This window comes from Homo sapiens, chromosome 12 (assembly GCF_000001405.40).
Source record: "Homo sapiens chromosome 12, GRCh38.p14 Primary Assembly".
Lineage (NCBI taxonomy): Eukaryota > Metazoa > Chordata > Mammalia > Primates > Hominidae > Homo > Homo sapiens.
The window spans coordinates 95,798,596-95,824,118 of NC_000012.12; the positions used below are offsets into that span (position 1 = coordinate 95,798,596).

Here is a 25,523-nt window from a genome sequence, read left to right on the forward strand (position 1 = left end):
GGTTTGGAAGGCCGAGGTGGGTGGATTACATGACGTCAGGAGTTTGAGACCTGCCTGGCCAACATGGTGAAACCCCGTCTCTACTAAAAATACAAAAAATTAGCCAGGTATGGTGGCGGGCACCTGTAGTCCCAGCTACTCTGGAGGCTGAGGCAGGAGAATTGCTTGAACCCAGGAGGCAGAGATTGCAGTGAGCCAAGATCATGCCATTGCACTCCAGCCTGGGCAACAAGAGTGAAACTCCATCTCAAAAGAAGAAGAAGAACAAGAAGAAGAAGAAGAAGGAGGAGGAGGAGGAGGAGGAGGAGGAGAAGGAGAAGGAGAAGGAGAAGAAGAAGAAGAAGAAGAAGAAGAAGAAGAAGAAGAAGAAGAAGAAGAAGAAGAAGAAGAAGAAGAAGAAGAAGAATTTTAAGCCAATTAGCCATAGCCACTCAAGGTTACAATAAATGTAAGTCCATTTAGGTTTCTGCACTCTACAAAATAACACCTCAAATGTTCTACCTTAGACCTTCTCTACTTATAAATGCTATTTACTCACAGAAATATTCCTCACTAAATTTAAGGAATTAAAACTTTAAAGCCAAATTAATACAAAAATATTAATTGCTCTGAAGCCCAAGCACTTTTTTATGCATGTAGTAAGTCTCTCTAACATAACTATTGAAGATTCCTTCATCGTAAAGAAAAAGCACATCATTTCCCCACTATCTGTCCTCCTTCAGAAATGTTTGAATGAATACAATATTTATTGCAAACAGAGAAAAAGGAATCTTTTTTTTTTAAAAAAGATGAATTCTTCTTAAAATGCATGATATTTCTATCATGAACAGAATTCTTTCTTTGGTAATGAAATCCTTTAAAGCTATAGTAACACTTTCAAAATAATATTAAATTTTACATTGAAAAGAATCCTGAAGTGGCAGGGGAGTTCCCAGTCTATTAATGACCCTATAGGAAGGGTGAAGGAGGTACAGATTATTATCTCTTACTCTGAAATTTAAAAAATCACAGCCTGCAGACTTGAGGTAATAAGTAGCTAAAGTCAGTAGCTTTGAATTCCTTTCTCAGTCTCACTGGTACGGTCTTGGATATAGCACTTTTAAATACACAAAGACAATCAAATATACTTATTGTTTCTCCGTGTGTCCTGTTTTTTGGTATACAAAAGGAAATTTAAGTGCCCCATTTGTAAACTCCAGATATCCTGCAATCAGTAAATAAATATCTTGAAAATGCAACTCATTCAAAGAAATACATCAATAGAGTCCAACAGAGAAAGGAAAACTTCCCTGTGCAAATCTGGGTGAGCCTGTCCTAAGGTGCTTATCTTTTTTTTTTTTCTTTTGAGATGGAGTCTTGCTCTGTCACCCAGGCTGGAGTGTGGTGGCGCCATCTTGACTCACTGCAGCCTCTGCCTTCCAGGTTCAAGTGATTCTCCTGCCTCAGCCTCCTGAGTAGCTGGGATTACAGGCATGCACCACCACATCCGGCTAATTTTTTTTGTATTTTTAGTAGACACGGGGTTTCACCATGTTGGCCAGGCTGGTCTTGAACTCCTGACCTCAGGTGATCTGCCCGTCTCGGCCTCCCAAAGTGCTGGGATTACAGGCATATGCTACTGCACTTGGCCCTAATGTGCTTACTTTTGATAGAAATTTTTTCCTCATTATAACCAATAACAAATAGCTAGCATTTATTGGGGACTTAATATACAGCAGGCCTTGTGCTAAACACTCTACATACAAGATCACCTTCAGACTTCTTAGTCACCCTAGGGAGAGACTGTCAATTGTCATCCTTGCTTTACAAATGAGAACTGAGACTCACCCAACTAGTAAATAATAGAGCTGAGACTGTAACCCAACCACTGGATTCCAAAGCCCATGAGTGAAACCACTGTGTTCATCATGGGTCTTTGGGAAATAACAGAAAAGCAGTTAGTAGGGCAAACCCATCTTCCAAAGAAACTGAGGCAGGAAAATAGGGTCTGGAGGCAGGGAGCATAAGGCTGACTCATACTTCAGCTATAACAGGAAATATCGTCTCCATAGGGCATAGGCTGTAAATGACTTTGTAACTTTACTTCATCCTTTCCATTTACATAGGGTGTACCTGAAGTAACCAATGGAATCCTCTAGGTATTTAAACTCCCAAAAATTCTGTAACTGGGCCTTTGAGCCTCTATGCTCAGGGCCACTCCCACACTGTGGAGCGTACTTTCATTTTCAATAAAACCCTTCATTCCTTCCTTGCTTTGTTTGTATGTTTTGTCCAATTCTTTGTTTAGGACACCAAGAACCTGGACACCCTCTACCGTTAATAAAACCAGCTTTCATTTTGGTATGGCTCCTTCTAATCTTATATCTAGCCTATATAGCCATACAATTTTTGTTCCATGTTTTCTTTACTTTTTAAATTTTTTTAGATGGAGTTTCGCTTTTGCTGCCCAGGCTGGAGTGCAGTGACGTGATCTCGGATCACTGCAACCTCCGCCTCCCAAGTTCAAGTGATTCTCCTGCCTCAGGCTCATGAGTAGCTAGGATTACAGGTGTCTGCACCATGCCCGGCTAATTTTTTGTATTTTTAGTAGAGATGGGGTTTCATCATGTTGGTCAGGTTGATCTCAAACTCCTGACCTCAGGTGATCCACCTGCCTCGACCTCCCAAAGTGCTAGGATTACAGACGTAAGCCACTGCACCCGGCCTTTCTTCACTTATTATTAAGTTATTAGAAATTCTACACAAACATCAGTTTTCATGGCCATATACTGTTCCAGTGAGTGGATCTACCTTATTATACTTTTGTGTTATTTTCAGATTTTTGCTATTATTCATAATAGTTTTATAGCTATCTCTGTTAAACATTTTGTTAATTTGAGTTTTTTTAATTTTTATTTTCTTATCATCATTAAAATGAAAATATCAGCTCAAAGAAAAGTTACATTTAGGCCACATTGTCAAATTTCTCTCCAAAAATGCTGCATCCATCTGTACAACTATCACTAAGGTATGGTGCCTATTTCACCTCACCCATACCAGCATTGAATATTATACTTTAAAAGTATAAATTTTCCAATTTAGTATGTGAAAAGTGATATTTGTATTAGTATTTCTTTTATTAGATTATATGTAAAATTGAATTTTTTTCTTTGCTTGCTAATCAGTTTTATTTCACCCTTTTTACTAATTATCTAAGATGGAATGAATTTCCAATTTCCTAAGGAAGTTAGACCTTTCTCCATTTCTAATATATGCGTTTAATGCTACAAATTTCCCTCTAAGCACTGCTTTTGCTGTGTCCTGTGAATTTTGATAAGTTGTACTTTTATTTACATTTAATTCAAAATATTTAAAATTTTCTCCTGAGATTTCTTCTTTGGCTCATGAGTTATTTAGAAACACATTGTTTAATTTGCAGATATTTGGGGATTCTCCAGCTAACTTTTCTGAGATCATATTTTGTATAATTTCTATTCTTTTAAATTTGTTAAAGTATGTTTAATGGCCCAGCATATGGCCTATCATGGTGTATATTTCTTGTGAATTTGAAAAGAATGTGTAATTCAGCTGTTATTGAAGTATTTGATAAACGTTCACTAGGTCAAATTGACTGATCTGTTCAGATCATCTATAGCTTTACTATTTTCACCCTTTTCAAATGATAGTCACTGTTAGCAACTAGTAAACAACAGAAGAGAAAAGTAAATAGGAAACTAATTACACTTTTAGTGTATATTGTAGGAAACAGACTGCCATGCATGCTTTCCATGAAGTTTTTGGTTTGTATCTATTACCTCTTTCCACAATGAAGAGGATGTAAGAGAGGAAAAGCAGGGTAAGAGGGTGAGCCAGAAACACAGAAGAAGTTGTTGAAAGGACACACCAAACACATCACCAGTCTGAGATTTTTTCCATATTTTATGTAATGCTTTCATGCCTATTGAGAAAATAAATGCTTGTTGATGAAGATTTTAATCTTTATTGGCGTTCTTTGGAATTCTTGTTTTTTAACACAAAAGTGATAGTATAACTCTTTTAAAAGACATCTATATAATCTTATGTTTTGAACTGGCTCTCTTTTCACTGAAAAATACCAAAAACTCACAGTTATAGAGTTGGAAGGGTAACTGTAGTACAGAAAGTTTGGCCAATTACATAGTGTTACAGTTTTAAGAGCTGCTTCCAAAGCAATCACACTATTCGGAAAAACTTTTTCATAACAAATGTGTTCTTCCTTTAAAATGTAAACAATGAGCCAATCTTAGAAGCAAACATTGACCGCAGAGTCATATCAAGTCCGTTGTTATAAGTACTTTAGTTTTAACAGTGCAGAAACGTGAAGGATAGGTTTACTTTTTAACTCCAACCCTGTTCAAAGATCACTTATTGGCCTCTGAAGGCACAGGTGGCATGCCTGTTATAGTTTAACAGGTAGCCTCTGGGTGAGGTATAGTAGTTCAGATAACTTTGGATGCTTTGGATGCTCTCATGTGTGGCAGTATGCACTTGCTAAAACATTCTCCTCTCTGGGTCTGGAAGCCTAGAGTCTATATCCATATGAGGCACTGGGCAGGTATTCCAGACTTCTGAGTCATGGATGAAAAATGCCATCTTGCAACTGACACAGCAATTCCTTTGCCAAGAAATCATCATATCCTTAGTTTCTTATGTTGAGGTAAATATTCAAGTTCTTGGTAAATAAGGTAGATTTTCTATTTGCAACCTATATCTGAGTATTCATCCTTTTGATAACAAAATTTACAGGGAATATTTTTTCTATCAGAGGCACCGTTAATTATACTAGGCTCTCAAAAGAATTCCAGATTCGCCTCAAATACCAGCAACTCAATTCTATTCCACTACTCAGATCTGTTGGGTTGGGTTGAATTGGAATTGTATTACATTTATAGTTAATTTAAGGAGTATTTACATCTTTAGGGAATTTAGTTTACATTTTTATGAACATCATATATTCTCCATGTATTTAGGTCCTCTTAAAGACATTTCAACAAAGTTGCCTAATTTTCTACATAAAAATCTTGCCAATCATTTATTAGATTTATTACTATACATATTTTTGATTATTTTTATATATGATATATTTTTAAAAGTAATATTTCTTAATCTTTGCTGTATGGGGATGTCATTGATTTTTGTCTATTGATCTTATATCCAGCAACCTTACTAAATTCCTAATTCTAATAATTTGTAGTCTCTTATGCCTAACTCCATGTTTCCATATAAACAACCATATTGTGTACATTTAGGGACCATTTATTTCTTCTTTCCAATCTTTACAATTTTTATTTGTTTTTCCTTTCTAATTACACTGGCTAGAATATGTAGTACATTTTGAATAGTCACAATATTGGAGGACTGGTGATTTCCTTTATTATCTTTGTGAGGCAAACAATATGCTTTAAAATGTTTGTTTTTTAGCTGGCAACTAGATGTTTTGTACCGAGAGAATTCAAGCTATGTAATCTGCACTATTGCTAGAGTCATTTCTTTTCTTAACTCTTTTCTCCTATGTTTACCTTCTCTACTAGTTGATTTGCCCTTTACACACTCTAAGTCCAAGTTTTACATTTGCTTTTCTCATTTCTAATGGTGTACTTTTGTGAAATTGAATATTGATTGTAGAATCTCCTACCAAGAACTTTTTTCTCTTTTCAAATTATTATACTTCTTAATATTCATGGCTTCTAGAAAGAATTAAATTTAAAAATAAAATTTACCTTCAAAGACAATGAGATGACCATGGATCTACCAAATGCTTTCATGAAATGTTCTTTATTTTTTCCTACAATATTCTCAGTACTTCCAAATGTGCAGGTTGCTCTGCTGCACAATGTTGGGAATGCCATTCACATCATGTGAGTAGCAAGCCCTGGGATTCTGCAGCACGCAATCTTCAAGGCTGACTGTGGTAGCCCCGCCTCTGCATTTCACTTTTCCGTCTAATTAGGACTGTGGGGTCTCTCAAGCAATTAGTGATAATCTACTAATGCCTAACTCCAGAAACAACTCTAAATGTGTTTCAAAAAAATTTCTACTTTTGGCTGCAAGCAGAAAAAATATCATGTCTGGGAGATATGTTATGATAATACAGCTTTAATAGGCAACCTCATTCCATGCCAAATCAGTGTTGATACAATATTCTTTTGTTTAGTATTATGTAATTAAGTAAATTGTCACTTCTGTTTCTATAAACACAATTAGGACGAGGTAAAAAAATGGGAAGAGAGGGGAGGAATTCATTTTGGAGAAAGAATCAACATAAAAGTAATATAATTACAACTCTCATTAGTAGTAATAATAATACTTGTGATGAGATGATAATGGTAAGGTAGTAATGATCATCATGATCATCACCATCATAATGATGCTGATATGCCCATGAATCCAAGTTGTTCGGCTTAGTTCCAAGTTTAAGCTGCATTATAGTTTAGTTTCTGCCATAAAAATTTCTTCAAAGCAGAGAGGGAGAGGATTTCATAGCATAGCTTCTGCTTTCTCACTAACAAATGATATATGTCAAACTTACAGTGACACAAGATTGCCAATTATATTATAACTTTATAAACTCTCATCCCATGTACAAGCAAGGTCAAAAATTAATTTTATCCGATTGAAACCAGAAGCTTTCTTTAGAAAGGCAGGTCTTTAGTTAAATACTAAAAAGGGCAAAGACTATAGCCAGTTCATTTTTTAGCTGCATATCTAGAGTTTTAAGTTACATATATATAATATACATTATAGGTAATATGGAGAGACTATAGATAGACAGATAGATAGATAGATAGATAGATAGATAGATAGATAGATAGACACCTATATATAGTATATGTATTTGTGGAATATCTTATTCATTCAGTACTGGATAGCACAGGTCTAGACCTCACAGGGGGTAATACCACAAGGGGAATAATGTGTGCAAAGTGCAGAGTAAGTGCATGTAAATAGCTTGCACTAGCAGAAAAAAGCACTGCAAGGAGCCAAAAGAAGAATATAAATCAATCGTGATCCTGGTAGAATAAAGTTGAGATGCTCTGGCATATTTGCAAGTAATGATACTAGTGAAAGAGCTAAACAGAAGGCAAAAATAGAGACCACAGGTTATAAGAAAAAGTTATGCACAGTCAAGAGTTGGAAAGCAACTTAACTTAAAAAAAATAAAAACCATCTACCCTGGCAGTGTATAAGGCATACTAGGCTTGCTGCTAATACGAAGTAGCCAGGGATATTTGTCTTTCTATCACTGGTGCCAGGCACAGGGTAAGTTCTCAATATATATTTGTTCACAATGGAGGAAGAGTGATCGGTTAGATAGCTATGTGGCCTACTTAAAAATACCACACTTTGCCAACGTCACATGTGGTTCAAGAAAATCTGTTTCTGAGTTGTTTTTGTGGGTGTGGTTCACAGACAATATTGGTGACACATCAGGAAAGATGGCAAGCAGAACGAGAACTAGTGCTACAAAAAGTGATCTCACTGTAACAGCATGGGTGGGCCTGGAAGTCAGTTCTCATGCAACCCCATTAGTTCTAGAAAGTTCTCATATGACTAAGAAAAAGCTGACAGGAATCAAACAGATTTCATCATTAAGCAAACAGAAAACATCAAGTAAGTAAGGGAAAATGTCGAATGAGGTTAGGAGGAAACAATTTTAGATACTTTTATAGCCTCCGGCCTCTTTCATTCCCTTTCTCAATCAGCTCTCCTCCTATCCCAACCCATGACCCTCTCCTACCCTTACCCCAGGAACACTAACAGAGCAGGGATGTTTCTGTATAATCCATTCAAGAAATTGCACAAGATCACCTAAGAAGAGGCTGCTATAGTCTGAATGTTTGTGTTCCTCCAAAATTCATGTGTTGAAACCTAACCCCCAAGGTGATGGTATTAGGAGGTGGAAGGTGATTGAGTCACCTCATGAATGGGATTAGTGCCCTTAGTACTGGAGAAAGCCTGTTTGCCCTGTTCACACCCTTCTGCCATGGGAGGATTTCTTGAGAAGGTGTGATTTTTGAAGCAGAGAGGGGACCCTCACCAGACATCTAATCTGCTGCTGCCTTGATGGTGGACTTTTCAGCCTCCAGAACTATGAAGAATAAATTTCTGTTGTTTATAAATTACCTAGTGTAAGGTATTTTGTTATAGCAGCAGGAACAGGAACCTCTGCTTCTAAGACAGAGGCAGAGCCAGGATTTGAAAAATTAGATGCCAGAGCTCCTGGTCATTATTATTGTACTAAACCAGATCATGCAGTAGTAACACTACTGGCAGAAAGCAAAATGCCTTCAAAGCCATTTTCTTAAAATTCTGTCATGAAGCAGCAATTATCCTTCAACTCATTTTTTTTTTTTTTTTTTTTTTTGAGACGGAGTCCCACTCTGTCACCCAGGCTGGAGAGCAGTGGCATGATCTTGGCTCACTGCAACCTCTGCCTCCTGGGTTCAAGCAATTCTTCTGCCTCAGCCTCCTGAATAGCTGGGACTACAGGCATATGCCACCACGCCCGGCTAATTTTTGTAGTAGAGAAGGGGTTTCAATGCATTGACCAGGCTGGTCTTAAACTCCGGACCTTGTGATCCGCCTGCCTCGGCCTCCCAAAGTGCTGGGATTACAGGCGTGAGCCACTGCGCTCAGCCTCAACTCAGTCTTTAACCAAAGGTTGCAACTTTCTTTACCAGCAAAAGCCACCTAAAAATTTTAAAATCACCCACCAGTAAAAAACAAGAAAACAACCAAGATTCTGAACTCTCCAACAATGAAGAATAGAGGAGGGAGAGGGCAGGGTGAACATGTTACTCCCACTAAGCCTCATTCATAAAATGGGAGTAATAATAACACATATCTTAGAAGATTGTGGTAGGATTAAATACATTAATTAAAGCACTCAGAATAATGCTTGACACATCATACGCATTTAATAAAAATTAACTATTATTTATCTTTTTCCTACCAGGTGCAGTGGTGCTTTTTTTCTTTTTTGCTAATTAGCCTAGAGTAAATTGCAATGTGTCTTCAGTTCCTGAAGCCTAAGGATGTGACGTCCAGCAATGTACTCATATTTTTAAAAATTCTATACAACTTATTTGGGTAATTCCATGTTGTGATAGTAATAATGTAATAATACTAACTCACCATAATTTGTTATTTTAACCAGACATTTTTAATTGCTCTAACCAAAGTGAATTAAAAGATTACTGATCATGCTGCAAAAGCAGAATGGTGAAATGATTAGGAGCCTAGACGCTCATGTTCTAACTCTAGGTTAGAATCCCACTCACTAGCAGAGTGATTTTGGGCAAATTATCTATCTTCTTTATGCCTCAGTTTCCTCATCTGTAAATTGGGATACTACGAGTATTTCTCTCAGAGATTTCTTATGAGGACTATATTAGTCTGTTCTCACACTGCTATAAAGAACTACCTGAGACTGGGTAATTTATGAAGACAAGAGGTTTAATTGACTCAGTTCCACAGACGTAACAGGAAGCATGACTGGGAGGCCTCAGAAATCTCACAATCATGGTGGAAGGCAAACGGGAACAGGGACCTTCTTCTCAGGGCAGCAGGAGAGAGAGAGAGCGGGGAGAACCACCACACACTTTTAAACCATCAGATCTCTTGAGAACTCACTCACTATCACGAGAACAGCATGGGAGAATCCGCCCCCATGATCCAATCACCTCTCACACCAGGTCCCTCCCTACACACGTGGGGATCACAATTCGAGACGAGATTTGGGTGGGGACACAGAGTCAAACCATATCAAGGACTAAATGAGTCATCATTGCACATAAAGTTCTAGGAAGAGTGTCTTGCACATAGTATGTACTTATATAAGTTGTTTCTTTTATACTTTTTCCATATAGTTAAGAAAATATATTTTGCCAGTTGATTTTTACAAGTTTATTAGTAAAATGTTCATAGAGAAACATTTACATTTCCTTACTCTAAATGTCCAAAATATATTTAATACTTATTTAACATACTTATTTTACATGGCTGAATATTACATGGTTGAAATTAAAGGCTTTATGTCAGCCTAATTTTAATATATTGTAGTTATTGCTTTAATTGTAATATATTGTAGTATATTGTAATTGTAATATATTGTAGTTATTGCTAATTGTAATATATTGTAGTTATTGCTTTAATTCTATTTTAATCTTTAGATGTTTAGTTAAGATCACTGCCTTTCATTATCTCAGCCTATTTCTTTTCTCAAAATCCATGCATAGGCTTCAATTATAATGTTTATATAATTGACTAGTAAATTCCCTCACTAACAAAGTAAACTATTAGGCTATAACAAATATGATACATACTTAGACTATTTTTATCTTTATATACAGACACTGCTAAATATCATAAATCATAAAGCTTAAAGATTTTTTAAAATACATGTATATATTTTTAATTTTTATGCTTAGCTACCACTATGAGTATTGAAATTAACAACAGCCTCAAATCAAGCAGTGAAAAATGCTAGTGAATGATCACATTTTAATGCTGCTTAATTTTTAGGCTTCTGGTGTGAATTAGCTATGAGATACAGCAATTTAAAGGATAATGACTAAACTCTTTCCTATTTCCTGCTTAATTTCCTTTTAAAGAAAAGTATTGGACTTTAAAAAATATTACTCATTCTTTAAATAAAAAAAACCAAGGAATTAGAATTCTCTTAACAAGTGCATCTTCTAGAGCAGCAGTCTCCAATCTTTTTAGCACCAGGGACTGGTTTCACGGAAGACAATTTTTCCATGGACGGGGTCGGTGGGGGGATGGTTTTGGGATAAAACGGTTCCACCTCAGATCATCAGGCATTAGATTCTCATAGAGAGCCTGCAGCCTAGCTCCCTTGCATGTGCAGTTCACAATAGGGTTTGAATTCCTATGAGAATCTATTGCTGCCACTAATCTGACAGGAGGCGGAGCTCTTGTGGTAATGCTGGCCGGCCACTCACCTCCTGCTGTGCAGGCTGGTTCCTAACAGGCCACGGACCAGGAGTTGGGGACCCCTGTTCTAGAGCAAAGAATTTCAGATGAAGAAATAAGTGACTAAAACAAAAGCACTTTTATAAGTTTAGAAAGGATGGCTCTATATAGATCTACATAAGAAGAAAAAAAATCAATCAAATAGTATCTGTGTCACGTTGATGTATCTTGTTGAACCTTCTAGTCCCATCCCAATGTTTAGCATCGTAAACACACATGCAGGCCAGGTGTAGGTGGCATTGGGGCAGCACTACAGTGACAAGAGCACCTTGGGAAGTACCATAAGCAGAGAATGTTTGCGTTTGGGTCACTCCCAGGAAAGTTGCAGAGACATAATAGAAAAAAGCTAAAACTACAAAGGCATTTTTTTAAAAAAGGTTAACTTATTATTATTATTTTTAAATTTTACTTTAAGTTCTGCGATACGTGTGCAGAACATGCAGGTTTGTTACATACATTTGTATGTGCCATGGTGGTTTGCTGCACCTATCAACCTGTCATCTAGGTTTTAAGCCCCACATGCATTAGGTTATTTGTCCTAATGCTCTCCCTCCCCTTGCCCCCAAGCCCCCAACAGGCCCTGGTGTGTGATGTTTAAAATGATTAACTTATAAAGAAACCAAAGTGATCAGCTTTCATATTTATAATTATAGAAAACATTAAACTCACATTGCTAAGGGTGTAGTTAAGACTTTCTTCATCTTCAGCTATGTCCTTTTAGGGAACTGAACATTTTTTAATTTTTTATACAAAATTTAAAAACTCTCCTTATTTAAAATTGATTGACTACCCAAAAATGTGTCTTTCTTTGCTTCCATTCCATGATTTATAAAGAATTAGCTTTAGTACTCTTTTTAGAGTGTAGGTTGAAAAGGCATTTTATTTTCCACCTCAGAGTAATTTTTAAACCACATCAATTATTTTTCATGTGCAGCCGTTTTTATCCACAAATTATTGCCTTAGGCATTTTTACTTTACCACACATTTCAGAAGAGAAGGAATGAAGGGGAACCAGCTAATCTACAAATGTTCACCTACAGTAGATCAGGCCAAAAAAAGGAGAGAAGAATATGACCCAAAGCTTCTTCAGAAATAAGAACTGCTTATTAATAGTCTAATGCAGGGGTGTCCAGTCTTTTGGCTTTCCTGAGCCACACTGGAAGAAGAAGAAGTGTCTTGCGCCACACATAAAATACACTAACACTAAAGAAAGCTGATGAGCTAAAAAAAAAAAAAGAAAAAGAAAAAGAAAAAAGCAAAAAAAAAATCTCATAATGTTTTAAGAAAGTTTATGAATTTGTATCAGATTGTAAGCCTCTTGAGAACAATCTTGGGCTTTATTTATGTTTCCCAGCACATAAGTAAACATTTCCCAACAAAATGCATAAATGGTAGGGGATAAAGTAAATTGGGAATCAACTCTTTAGTGATAATTAAATGCAAGGAAAGTAGATTATATATTCAGCGTTTACCAAGCTTGGTAAATAAAGCACAAGATTGTTCTCAAGAGGCATACAATCTGATTTGGCATGTAATAATTTGCACATAAAGCAATGAGAAACTACTATAAGGCAATAAAACATGCTAGAGACTGGGAGACCCAGAAAAAGAAAAAAAAAGCTGGATGGCGACTATGATAAGGTTTGGATATGCTAAAAAGGGGCAAGAAAGACATTCTCCAAAGGAATACATGAAAGTTTAAAATTAATAAGGGGCTGGGCGTGATGGCTCACACCTGTAATCCTAGCACTTTGGGAGACAGAAGAGGGAGGATTGCTTAAGCTCAGGAGTTGGAGACCAGCCTGGGTGACATACTGAGACCTCGTCTCTACTAAAGATAACAAAAATTAGCCAGGCATGGTGGCACAAACCTATAGTTCCAGCTACTCAGGAGGCTGAAGTGGGAGGCTCACTCAAGCCCCGAGGCTACAGTAAACTATGATCATGCCATTACACTCCAGAAGGAGTGTAATATCTTTTCTGTTTGCTAAAATTATACTGCTTTGGATTCACCCATTTATTTCTATCATGTTTTCTAAGAAGGAGAAAAGGCTACAAGATATTGAGATGTTCACCTGTCAATGAAAAGGAGCTATAATTTGGCCCAGAAAGAAAGTCTATTGATCCAAGGAGCAGCTTAGACACAGAGCTGTTTTCAGTATTACCCAGGTCTCATGCTATCCACCACCAGCAGTCCTCACTGAACTTCCCCCCAAGCTGAATAATTCTAAACTTTAGAAAATGCTAACAATTTTTAAAGTGTCAAGAAATTATGGTAAAATGAACACTTACATTTGGTACATGATATGAACATATACAAACAAAATATTTTACTACAGAACCATAAATTGATGGAATGATCAAATAAGATTATAGAATCATGGCTATAGAAATAGAAATACAAGGTCAGGAGCAGTGGCTCATGTCTGTAATCCCAACACTTTGGGAGGCCGAGGTGGGCAAATCATGAGTTCAAGAGATCGAGACCATCCTGGCCAATAGTGAAACACCATCTCTACTAAAAATACAAAAATTAGCTGGGCGTGGTGGTGCATGCCTGTAGTCCCAGCTACTTGGGAGGCTGCGGCAGGAGAATTGCTTGAACCTGGGAGGCAGGGGTGGCAGTGAGGTGAGATCGCGCCACTGCACTCCAGCCTGGTGACAGAGTGAGACTCTGTCTCAAAAACAAACAAACAAACAAACAAACAAAAAGAAATACAAGTCTGTTGACTAAGCCTACCATGACTCATGTAGGATGATATCGTCTAGAGAAAAACATGGCCATTAAATCAAGTACTTGTGATAACAGTCAAATGATATCAAGTTCTAAAGTCAGAGAGAAATAGTTAAATCAATAACTGAAAATTTACAGATTTTATTGGATAAATGGTGAAGTATTTAGTTGTGAAAATATAAACTTTTCTCCAGAGTTAAAATGCCTGAGTACTGACCCTCCTTTGTTTGTAATTGACAATATCCCTAAGATATTTTCTTAAAGAAAATTATCAGTATCAACATTTTAACTCTGGAGAAAAATATATATATAATGATAATTTTCTTTAAGAAAACATCCTACGGTTTTTGTCAATTACAAACAAAGAAGGGTTAGCATTCAGGTTCTTTGCCTTAAGGAAACAGAACTCTGAATGTAGAGCTCTTTATGACTCCAATAAAGGGCATATATTTTTCTGTATCTCCTAGAAAGAGGTGTGGAAGTTTTTGGTGGTTGAAGAATTAGAATCCAAGTTAGATTCTGTTCTCTTAAAACAGGATCCATTTTCCGCATGTAATTTCACAATGGGTGCTATGACCAGCTAAGCCTATAAATGATCACTGCACCAAATCAGGACTCTAATATACTACTGTTTTACTTTATATGCCTAGTACATATAGCAAAGTTGCATAACAGAAGAAAAACAAACCCTGGTTTTACCATTCTCATGGCGTTAACATAATCTCCAGTGAGTAAAATGATACTTCTTAAAAATTGGCCCAATTTATCTATTGTAACTATAGCCTATAACGTACTTTCAGTAACAGGGTGATCATGATAAAGAAGAATGCTGACCAGGTGTGGTGGCCCACACCTGTAATCCCAACACTTTGGGGGACTGAGGCAGGAGGATTGCTTAAACCCAGGAGTTTGAGAACAGCCTTGGCAACGTAGCAAGACACCATCAATACAAAAAATTTTAAAAATTGGCTGAGCAGTTGGGCGTGGTGGCTCATGCCTGTAATCCCAGCACTTTTGGAGGCCAAGGCGGGTGGATCACCTGAGGTCAGGAGTTCGAGACCAGCCTGGCCAACATGGTGAAACCCCATCTCTACTAAAAATACAAAAATTAGCTGGGTGTGGTGGCGGCATCTGTAGTCCCAGCTATTCGGGAGGCTGAGGGAGGAGAATTGCTTGAACCCAGGAGGCGTAAGTTGCAGTGAGCCAAGATCATGCCACTGTACTCCAGCTTGGGCAACAGAGTGAGACTCTGTCTCAAAAAAAAAAAAAAAAAAATTAGCTGAGCATGGTGACACCTTCTTATAGTCCTTCCTACTTCAGAGCCTGAAGTAACAGGATCACTTGAGCCCAGGAGGTCAAGGCTGCAGTGAGCCACGATCACACCACTACCCTCTATTCTGGGCAACAGAATGAAACTCCGTTTCACTAAAAAAAAAAAAAAGAAGAAGAAGAAGAAGAAGAAGAAGAAGAAGAAGAAGAAGAAGAAGAACCCTCTTTGTCATTCAACACCTGTTTTTGAAAACTTGATATGTGGCTAACAGAACAGAGTGTCCCTGGAAAGAGGTCTTTTTTTCTTTTGAGACAGTCTGACTCTGTTGCCCAGGCTGGAGTACAGTGGTGCAATCATGGCTCACCGCAGCCTCAACCTCCCAGGCTCAAGCAATCCTCCCACCTCAGCCTCCCAAGTAGATGGGACCATAGGCAGTGCCACCACACCTGGCTAATTTTCTAAAACTTTTTTGTAGAGGCAGGGTCTCACTATGTTGCCCAGGCTGGTCTCAAACTTCTGGCCTCCAAAAGTGCTGGGATTACAGGTTTGAGCCATCGTGCCCAGCCTAAGAAGTCTTTTTAATAAGGAAAGACTCTAGAACAAAGAATATAAAGGAGTTTCAAGCTTATTTGATTTGGAGGGAAAGACTCTGCAGTTCAAGCTTATTTGATTTAGAGTATCTTTACATAATGTAGTGAAATTTCATTAATTTGTATTCATACAATGAACTAATTTCACCTAGTTTGGGCTATTCTGTAATATTTATGATGCAAGAAAGTCAGTAACAAAATTATAAACTAGTTCTTTCCGGTTAGAAGGTGTAAAATGAAAACAGTTGGACAATTATTCAGGCACTAGAAAACATTATGTGGAGCAACTCCTAGGATTTGGTTTGCTCCCCACGGAAAAACAAGCTTCCAAATAAATATTTCAGCAAACAAATCTATTACTTTTTTCTTTTCTTAATTATTCTTAGAAAAAATGTACATATAAACACTTTGACTGTTATCCATAAGTCAAATATTTCCAAAGTAGACACTGCCCACGTTTGGTTAATTACCTGAATTTACAGGGTTGGTTTCCATTCCATTCATTTGCGTAGTCACGTTGTTTAGTTCACATGATACGTGCCAGCCTCAGCTGAAATTCTAGTTATTGGCAGAGTTTAAGAAAGCTTGGGAAAGGAACCTGGGCAAGTGCTTTTATCCATTCTGGTCAAGGGGTCCTGATCTGGAGTCCATGCATGAGCTTTTAGGAGGTCTGCAAATCTGCAAAACCTGCATGTAACAATTGTATGTTTTCATAAAAAAATTTTTTGAGGCAGGGTCTCACTCTGTCACCCAGGCTGGGGTACAGTGGTGTGATCTCAGCTCACTGCAACCTCTACCTCTCAGGTTCAAGCGATTCTCCTGCCTTAGCCTCCCGAGTAGATGGGACTACAAGAACGTGCCATCAAGCCCAGCTAATTTTTGTATTTTTTTGGTAGCAACAAAGTTTCACTGTGTTGGCCTGTCTGGTCTCAAGCTCCTGTCCTCAAGTGATCCGCCAACCGTGGCCCCCAAAGTGCTGGGATTACAGGTGTGAGGCACTGCACCTGGCTGATTTTTATATGTTTAGATGAAAATTTCCAGAGAGTTCACGATTTTCATGATTATCAAAGGTCACTCTCCTTCTAAAAAGGTTCAATTATTGATTTAAGGAGTTCTTATTTGTCAGTCCTTATTGGAGATCCAATGCTCCAATGAACTGAGATACAATTTTGGGTTGAAAGATCTGAAATGGTGTCTTCTCTCCACTGACCACAAGCCGGGCTTTGAAATTAGAGTCGTAACCTTTCCCTTGCAAATCCCTGGAAGGTGTGCTTTCAACAGCTCGCTGCCGTTTGAAGGAAAAACTGTTCCAAATGTAATTATATACATATTGGGGATATTAAACATTTCTTCTGCGAAAGTTTCTTGTATCCTTTGTTTATTTGGTTAACAATACTTTTGCAACCCTATTATAAGCAGTATGTGCCAAGGATAAAAGGATAAACCCAAATACACGTGTCCTTTGTCTTTCTGGATGGATATATAGCAGAGAACATTTTCATTTTTCATAATTCTCTGTATCTACTGGAGAAAGAAAATGATAAAACATACCCAAGTTTATCTAATTTCAACCAGAAACTCTCAAATGAAATGCATGAAGTAAAGTGACATCTAGTGTTGGTTAAGTGGCAGTGAAATATGTGTCAGGACAAGGCATACTTTAACTTTCTTTGAACAGACTGTTAAACTTGGCTTTGTTAAGTTGCCAACTCCGGAAAGCATAGTTTTGCTTTTAAAAATATTTTAGAGTAATTCTGAAATAATCTGAATTTAAATGCTAATAACATTGTTTTTATTTTTTCAAAATAAAATGCTTAACGCCTACAGAAAAGTCTAGAGAATGAAATAACAGTTACGTATCTACCACCCAACTCTGTCAAATCTTAACGTTTTGCTTTACTTACATCAGATATTTTAAACATAAAATGTAATAGACACATTTGATGCCTTATTAACTATTTCTGATTTCATGTCCATCTTGTTCTCTTTAGAAGTAATCAATATTTGGTTTATTATCTCTGTGACTTTTTGTATTTTTATTACATATTTGTGTACACATAAAATTTATAATATTGCACATATTTTATAGCTGATATAAGGGATACCATATGGTACAAATATTTCTGCAACTTACTTTTTCTAGTTTAATATTATGCTTTGGAGATTTCGTGATATTGGTCATCTAACTTCAGTCATTTACTGTAACTGCTGTATGTTAGCATTCCATTGAATGAATTGTACAACAATTTATTTAATTTACAGCTGATGGACATTCAGAGTGTTTTCAGTCTCTTGCTCTTACAAACCATGCTACAGTGAACACTCTTATACGTGACCCATTGTGCACACATTTGCGAGTTTCTCTAGACTGCACAACGAGGAGGTATTGCACAAGTGTATACTTTCAAAACATCTCTAGCTATTGAGCATTTGCTCTCCAAGATGGTTGTACCAATTTACACCCTAGTAGAAGTGTAAGAAAACTTCTGTGGCTTCACATTCTCGCCAGCACTTGGTATTGCCAGGCTTTTTAATTTCTGACAATCTGCTTGATGTAAAATCTTATCTCATTGTGGTTTCAATTTGCATTTCTCTGACAAGTAGTAAAACTGAGTTACTTATTTATTTATTTATTCATTTATTTTGAGACAGTCTCGCTCTGTCGCCCAGGCTGGAATGCAGTGGCGCGATCTCGGCTCACTGCAAGCTCCGCCTCCCAGGCTCACGCCATTCTCCTGCCTCAGCCTCCCGAGTAGCTGGGACTACAGACGCCTGCCACCACGCCGAGCTAATTTTTTGTATTTTTAGTAGAGACGGGGTTTCACCGTGTTAGCCAGGATGGTCTCGATCTCCTGACCTTGTGATCCACCCGCCTCGGCCTCCCAAAGTGCTGGGATTACAGGTGTGAGCCACCGCACCCGGCCGAGCTTTTTAAAAATATGTTTTTACTACTGAAGTTTCTTCCGTGAATTGCCTATTCCTATTCTATGCCTACTGGATTGCTGGCATTTTCCTTTAAGTACTTGCTGATATAAGTACTTTGTAGGCTTGATATATTGCAAATATTGTTTCTCAGTTTATGGCTTGGCTGTTCACTGTGTTCATGGCATCTTTTCATTTTAAAGCAATCGACTTTGGCTGGGCGCGGTGGCTCATGCCTGTAATCCCAGCAATTTGGGAGGTCAAGGCAGGTGGATCACCCGAGGTCAGGAGTTTGAGACCAGCCTGGCCAACCTGGTGAAATCTGTCTCTACTAAAAATACAAAAATTAGCCAGGCGTGGTGGTGTGTGCCTGTAATCCCAGCTACCCAGGAGGCTGAGGCAGGAGGATCACTTGGAACCCAGGAGGCAGAGGCTGCAGTGAGCCGAGATTGTGCCACTGCACTCCAGCCTGGGCGACAGAGCAAGACTTTGTCTCAAAAAAATAAATAAATAAATAAACAAAAAATAATCAACTTTATGAATCTTTCCCTTTTTATTGCTTATTTTAAAATCTTTTTCCTTTTTTTTGAGGCGGTGTCTTGCTCTGTTGCCCAGGCTGGAGTGCAGTGGCACGATCTTGGCTCACTGTAACCTCTGCCTTTGGGGTTCAAGTGATTCTCCTACCTCAGCCTCCTAAGTAGCTGGGATTACAGGCGTCTATCACGATGCCCAGCTAATTTTTGTATTTTTAGTAGAGATGGTGTTTCACAATGTTGGCCAGGTTGGTCTCGAACTCCTGACCTCAAGTGATCTGCCTGCTTCGGCCTCCCAAAGTGCTGGGATTACAGGCTTGAGACACTGTGCCTGGCCTTAAAATCTTTATTAAGCTTTTCTCCTTTATTTTCTCTTAAAATGTTTAAAGTTTTTTTTTCCTTATTTAGGTTTCTAAATTATAAACTTTTCTGTATTGTGTGAGGTAGAAAATTCGATTCCTTTTGTATCATGGATAATGACTGTCCTAGCATTATTTATTGAAGAAACCATCCTTTCCTCATTGTTCATTTTAGCTCATCACCAAAGTCACTTATGAAATTAATTTGGGGCCAGGCACAGTGTTCACACCTGTAATTCCAATACTTTTGGAGGTCAAGGCAGGAGGATTGCTTGAGGCCAGGAGTTCGAGACTAGCCTCGAAAACAAAGTGAGACTCCCATCTCTACAAAAACTTTTCTAAAATTAGCCCAGCACAGTGATGTGTCTGCCATTGCATTATTTGGGAGGCTGAGGCAGGAGGATTGCTTGAGCCCAGGAGTTTTAGGCCGCAGTGAGCTTTGATGGCACCACTGCACTCAAGCCTGAGTGACAGATCTTTAAAAAAGAAAAAAATAATAACTTTGTAAGATTTGTCTTGCATAGCACTACCTGGCTCCTGAGGTTCCCTCAGTTAAGTCAGGTGTGTATACTGACTTCCACCTATGGGTTCATCCCTACTCACATGCTGAGCCTGTTTTGCTATCTGTTGTCTGAGAAATATTGGTCAGCATCAGGACCATTATTCCTAGTGTTTCCATACTCCATTCCTGCGTTCTGGCCATTTGTTTTTTCTTGGGGTCCAATCCTTGTTGTTTGCGCTCCTATTCTAGGTTCTGAGCTAGGATGGCCAACCATCCTGGTTTTCCCAGGACCAAACTACCTGGTTTCCCCAAATGCAAGACTTTATGTGCTAAAACTGTGACCATCCCTGGCAAACTTGGCCTGGATGGTTGGTCACTTTAGATGTATCCTGTGGTTTTTGCTTCCTCTTGTGTTGACCTCTTGACTGTCTAGTTTGGTGTTTTCTCTGTGCTCACAAATCATATTTACCTTGAACTTGTATTCGTTGAGTGCCTATGATGTCAGAGGCTGTATGAAGCATTTTCATATGTGGTATCTCATTCAACCGTTAGACAGCTCTGCATGATTTCCTTTTACAGATGAGGAGGATTTTATGTAGTTAGCCAGGATCACAAAATTAGTGACACAAAAGAATGAAACCCAAGCCTCCTGACTACACATTTTTTATTTCCACCAAACTTGTCATCTTTCCGGCCCGAGTTGCATACTTGGGGCCTCCACTCTGTACTAACTGAACTTCAGGGTGAACTCCATTATGCCTTGCCTAGCCTCTTGCTGTCCTTCATACATCTTTTTTTTTTTTTTTTTTTTTGAGACAAGGTCTGGTTCTATCTATCGCCCAGGCTGGAGTGCAATGGCACAATCTCAACTCACTGCAACCTCTGTCCCTCTCTATCCACCAGGCTCAAACTATCCTCCCACCTCAACCACCCAAGTTGCTGGAACTACAGGCACAAGCCACAATGCCCAGCTAATTTTTGTATTTTTTGTAGAGATGGGGTTTGCCATATTGCCCAGGCTGGTCTCAAACTCCTAGGCTCAAGTGATCCACCCCTCAGCCTCCCAAAGTGCTGAGATTTATAGGCGTGAGCCACCACACCCAGCCTATCCTTCACACATCTTTAACCTAATATGATAGTACTTGAAGTCAACATCTTCTATTGCAAAGCACAAATGACAAGCCCATTTGTTATGCAATGGTATAAATATCTCAAATGTTTCATTAGGATAAGCACTAAGAAGAAAGATAAACGTGAATATAATAGCATGGCACATCACACTGCCACATCAGATTGCATCCCTCCAGTTAATATGTCATGGCATAGGATGCGGAATCTTTGCATTTTAATGTATTCATTTCATCAATATTTCCTTTTTGGTAGTTTATTTAAGAAATCCTTCATTAAGTTATTCTCCTTCAATTTCTCCAAATACCTAATTTAATTAATTTGTAGATTATGAATACAAAATATTATTTGTAGAATATTAGTTTCCCAAATATTAACAGAAATTAGGTGTGTATGTGGGATGGGAGGTGGGCCAATTAGTTTGGGAAACAAATATCTTATTATAGAACTTCTCAGTCTCTGTTTTGCTAATTTGCAGTGTGACTTTCCTACAGAGAGATAGAGTGTGTGGCATTTTTCAAATGCTATGAATTTTCCAAATGACCATGACACCTTTTTCTTTTGTTGCATTGGTTTTGTTTCATAATTTCCCATGTGCCTTGGAATATCCACTGGGAAACGGTGTTTTCATCTCTAACAGCACAATACCCTCCAGAGGGCAGCAGATTCCCTTGGCATATAGCCAATCATCTATTCATTGAACAGATTGATGAGGGACCTGGAGCATGTTATATTATTATTCCAGTCAGGGATGTAAAATTTCTAGTTTCTGTAACAGAGAGAGGCATTAAAATTTAGCTCAAGGCTAATAAAAAAATAAATTATTGGCACTGAGATATAATACAAAAAAAAATCCAATCATATCTCTGATGGATTACAATGGCATGCATTGTATTGTAAAGTCCAGATCATGTCTCTATTTATCCTCTTAGTCTCAATCAAACAACAAATATTAGTTGAGTGTTCCATAAGGAATAAAATGAAATATTACCATTAGTTCATTTCTCAAGGAACTAAGAGATCAGAGAGACAGTTAGATAAGGCAACACATTAGTTCATTGGATTTCATTGGCTGCAAATCAGAATCACTGGGGGACACTTTTAAACAATAATAATGCTCAAATCTCACCTAAGAACATTAAATTTGAATCTTTGTGTTTGGTTCCAGGCATGAGATTTTTTTTTAAATTATACTTTTAAGTTCTAGGGTACATGTATACATGTGCCATGTTGGTGTGCTGCACCCATTAACTCGTCATTTACATTAGGTATTTCTCCTAATGCTATCCCTCTCCCCTCCCCCACCCCATGACAGGCCCTGGTGTGTGATGTTCCCCACTCTGTGTCCAAGTGTTCTCATTGTTCAATTCCCACCTATGAGTGAGAACATGCGGTGTTTGGTTTTCTGTCCTTGTGACAGTTTGCTGAGAATGATGGTTTCCAGCTTCATCCATGTCCCTACAAAGGACATGAACTCATCAATTTTTATGGCTGCATAGTATTCCATGGTGTATATGTGCCACATTTTCTTAATCCAGTCTATCATTGATGGACATTTGGGTTAGATCCAACTCTTTGCTATTGTGAATAGTGCTGCAATGAACATACGTGTGCATGTGTCTTTATAGCAGCATGATTTATAATCCTTTGGATATATACCCAGTAATTGGATGGCTGGGTCAAATGGTATTTCTAGTTCTAGATCTTTGAGGAATCACCACACTGTCTTCCACAATGGTCAGACTAGTTTACACTCCCACCAACAGTGTAAAAGTGTTCCTATTTCTTCACATCCTCTCCAGCACCTGTTGTTTCCTGACTTTTTAATGATCGCCATTCTAACTGGTGTGAGATGGTATCTCATTGTGGTTTTGATTTGCATTTCTCTGATGGCCAGTGATGAAGAGCATTTTTTCATGTGTCTGTTGGCTGCATAAATGTCTTCTTTTGAGAAGTGTCTGTTCATATCCTTCCAGGCATGAGATTTTAAAAACATGTTTTCAGGTGATTCTAACGAGTGGCCAGGGTTGAGACTATTGCATTAAGAGGATAAAAAAGTATTTTTGGAAAGAGGTTTCTGACCTTTTCAAGCAGGTGGAGGAATTTAGAATCCTTTTCCCAGGGAGAATGTTTCAAATGTAGAAGAGTACAAAAAAGACAATGGTCATTCTTACATCCTCTGTTCAAAGTTAACCTTTGTTAGCATCTTTATTCTTTCTTAGCTGTCAGAATTGCAAACAACAAAATCATACAAAACCCACATCTTATAGTTCCTAAAGTTAACCTTAAAAAACATTTCCTAGGAGAGCAAAAGACATCATTTTTTTCATCTCCAAAAATGCATTATAACTCACCCTAGTTAACAAATAGTCTGGCATATTCCAAATAGATCCACTGGGCCATAGACCTCATCTAACAAAGATGAATTCTGTTCATTTGCTCTGTGAATAGAGCTAAGAGGCTTATTTGTGCAAAGACTAACTGATGAGGTGGAAGAGAGAGCAAGACAGCAAGAAAATATTAGTGAATATATATCTTCCAATTGCAAAGAGATATGGAGCAAGAACCTGCCTAGATGGAAGGAATGAGAACTATAGGCTATAGTTATGGATGGGAGGTTTTCTTTACGCAAAATTAACTAGCTTATAGTGGGAAGTGAGTGGATGGAAACGTGTCTCATTAACATCATGTTCGAACTTACCATAAGCTCAGTGAGGGTCAATAACCTGATAGGATGGCTGTTTTTAGGGCATCATAGGACTGAAGAAGACTTCCTGACAACCGTTAAAAATCTTTGAACTAGAAGACAAACTTGAAAAAAAAATACAAGCAGAAATATGTCCTCTGACAGCTGATAGGTATTTTAAGCAATGGATCCGATCCATATTTTGCAAAAGGCTCTAGAAATTAAACTAAAAATGCTTCACTAGGTCTAATGAAGTATATCTTGAATGATCCAGAGGAAGATATTATTTTCATCCCCATTTAATAGATGAAGTATCTAAAATCAGAGAAACTGACTGATTTTCTCTAGACTACAAGCTAATAAGTAGACAACTGGGACTTGAAACCAGGCACACTGATTGTCTCCATAGTCTGTGTGCTTAACCACTGCATGGTACTGCCTCATAACTTACAGAAAAAAATTCGCATTGCATTACAGAAAACCTATATATTCACACATTACATTTATTACCCATTCTAAGGGACACACTATAATGTCTCTAAATTTGGGATACTACTAGTAATCAATGGTGTCTATAATTTTAGTTGATACATATATTAATACATACCTGATATCTATAATTATAATCAACAAACAATTGGTATATAGAACAATGGTGCATCTTTGAAATAGAGTAAAATAAATCTCATAGGCACTTGTACTTGTTCTTTCTCTAAGGGAAATGTTTGTGAATTCAGAAATCCTTTTCTTTTCTAGGAAAAGTGATGAATTAATTACAAATTTCTGCAAATGGAAGTTCATTCATTTATTTGGCCACCAAATATTTTTTGAGTTTGGAGATCAAAGCAGTAGAGTCTCAACTCTGAAGTCAGACAGACCTGGGTGGAATCCTGGCCATACCATTTTCAAGCTATGTAACCTCGAAGAAATTCTGTAATCTCTCTAAACCTCAATAAAATGAAAATGTTCACAGTGTCCTATAGGTTTATTGTGAGGATTTAATGCAATAACTCATTTAAGGGATAATACCTGTTCGGCATATTAAAAACGCCATCTATTAGTATCATTATTTAAAAACCTGTTAAACATCCCCATTTTGTTACAGTGTTCTAAGGTTTGTTAACAACCTTAGGACAATGAAATAAGGATAAAATTTTGCCCTCATAAAGCTTATATCCTCATAGGAAAAGACACAATTATTATTGTGTTCATATGGTGATCACCAGGCAAGTCACTTAAGAGTTTGAAGATAAATAAGATGCCTTATCTAATGGTTAAAATCTTACTAAAGAAAATCTCTTTGAAAGTAGCTTATATTTTTACAAGATAAAGCATTTCTATATATGGTCTAGTAAAAGATTTAAAGTAGGCAATCCAGAAAGATTTGTTGAATCAAATTGCACTGCATGTCTTCCTTTCTAATTTGCTATGAGTTAGGAACCACAAGCAGCCTTTTCCTAACAGTGTTAAAAAAAAGTTTTGTGCTGGGCGCAGTGGTTCATGGCTATAATCCCAGCACTTTGGGAGGCCGAGATGGGTGGATCACTTGAACTCAGGAGTTTGAGACCAGCCTGGACAACATAGTGAGACTCATCTCTAAAAAAAATACAAAAATTAGCTGGCCGTGGTGGTGTATGTCTGTAGTCTCAGCTACTCACGAGGCTGAGGTGGGAGTATCGCTTGAGCCCAGGTGTTGGAGGTTGCAGTGAGCCGAGACTGTACCACTGCACTCCAGCCTGGGCAACAGAGACAAACTCTGTCTCAAAAAAAAAAAAGTAAAGTAAGA

General features: G+C 37.8%; 2 long non-coding RNA genes across 2 annotated transcripts in view; one reads left to right on the forward strand and one right to left on the reverse strand.

Annotated features, from left to right (window-relative positions):
• The window catches only part of SNRPF-DT (SNRPF divergent transcript), a 63,495-nt gene that overhangs the window by 3,251 nt on the left and 34,721 nt on the right, over nt 1-25,523 (reverse strand). The gene's annotated exons all lie outside the window — the stretch shown is intronic.
• Nucleotides 4,502-24,719, forward strand: LINC02410 (long intergenic non-protein coding RNA 2410). The gene is made up of 2 exons (NR_135016.1): nt 4,502-4,675; nt 24,494-24,719. It is a non-coding gene; the product is annotated as a long intergenic non-protein coding RNA 2410 (long non-coding RNA).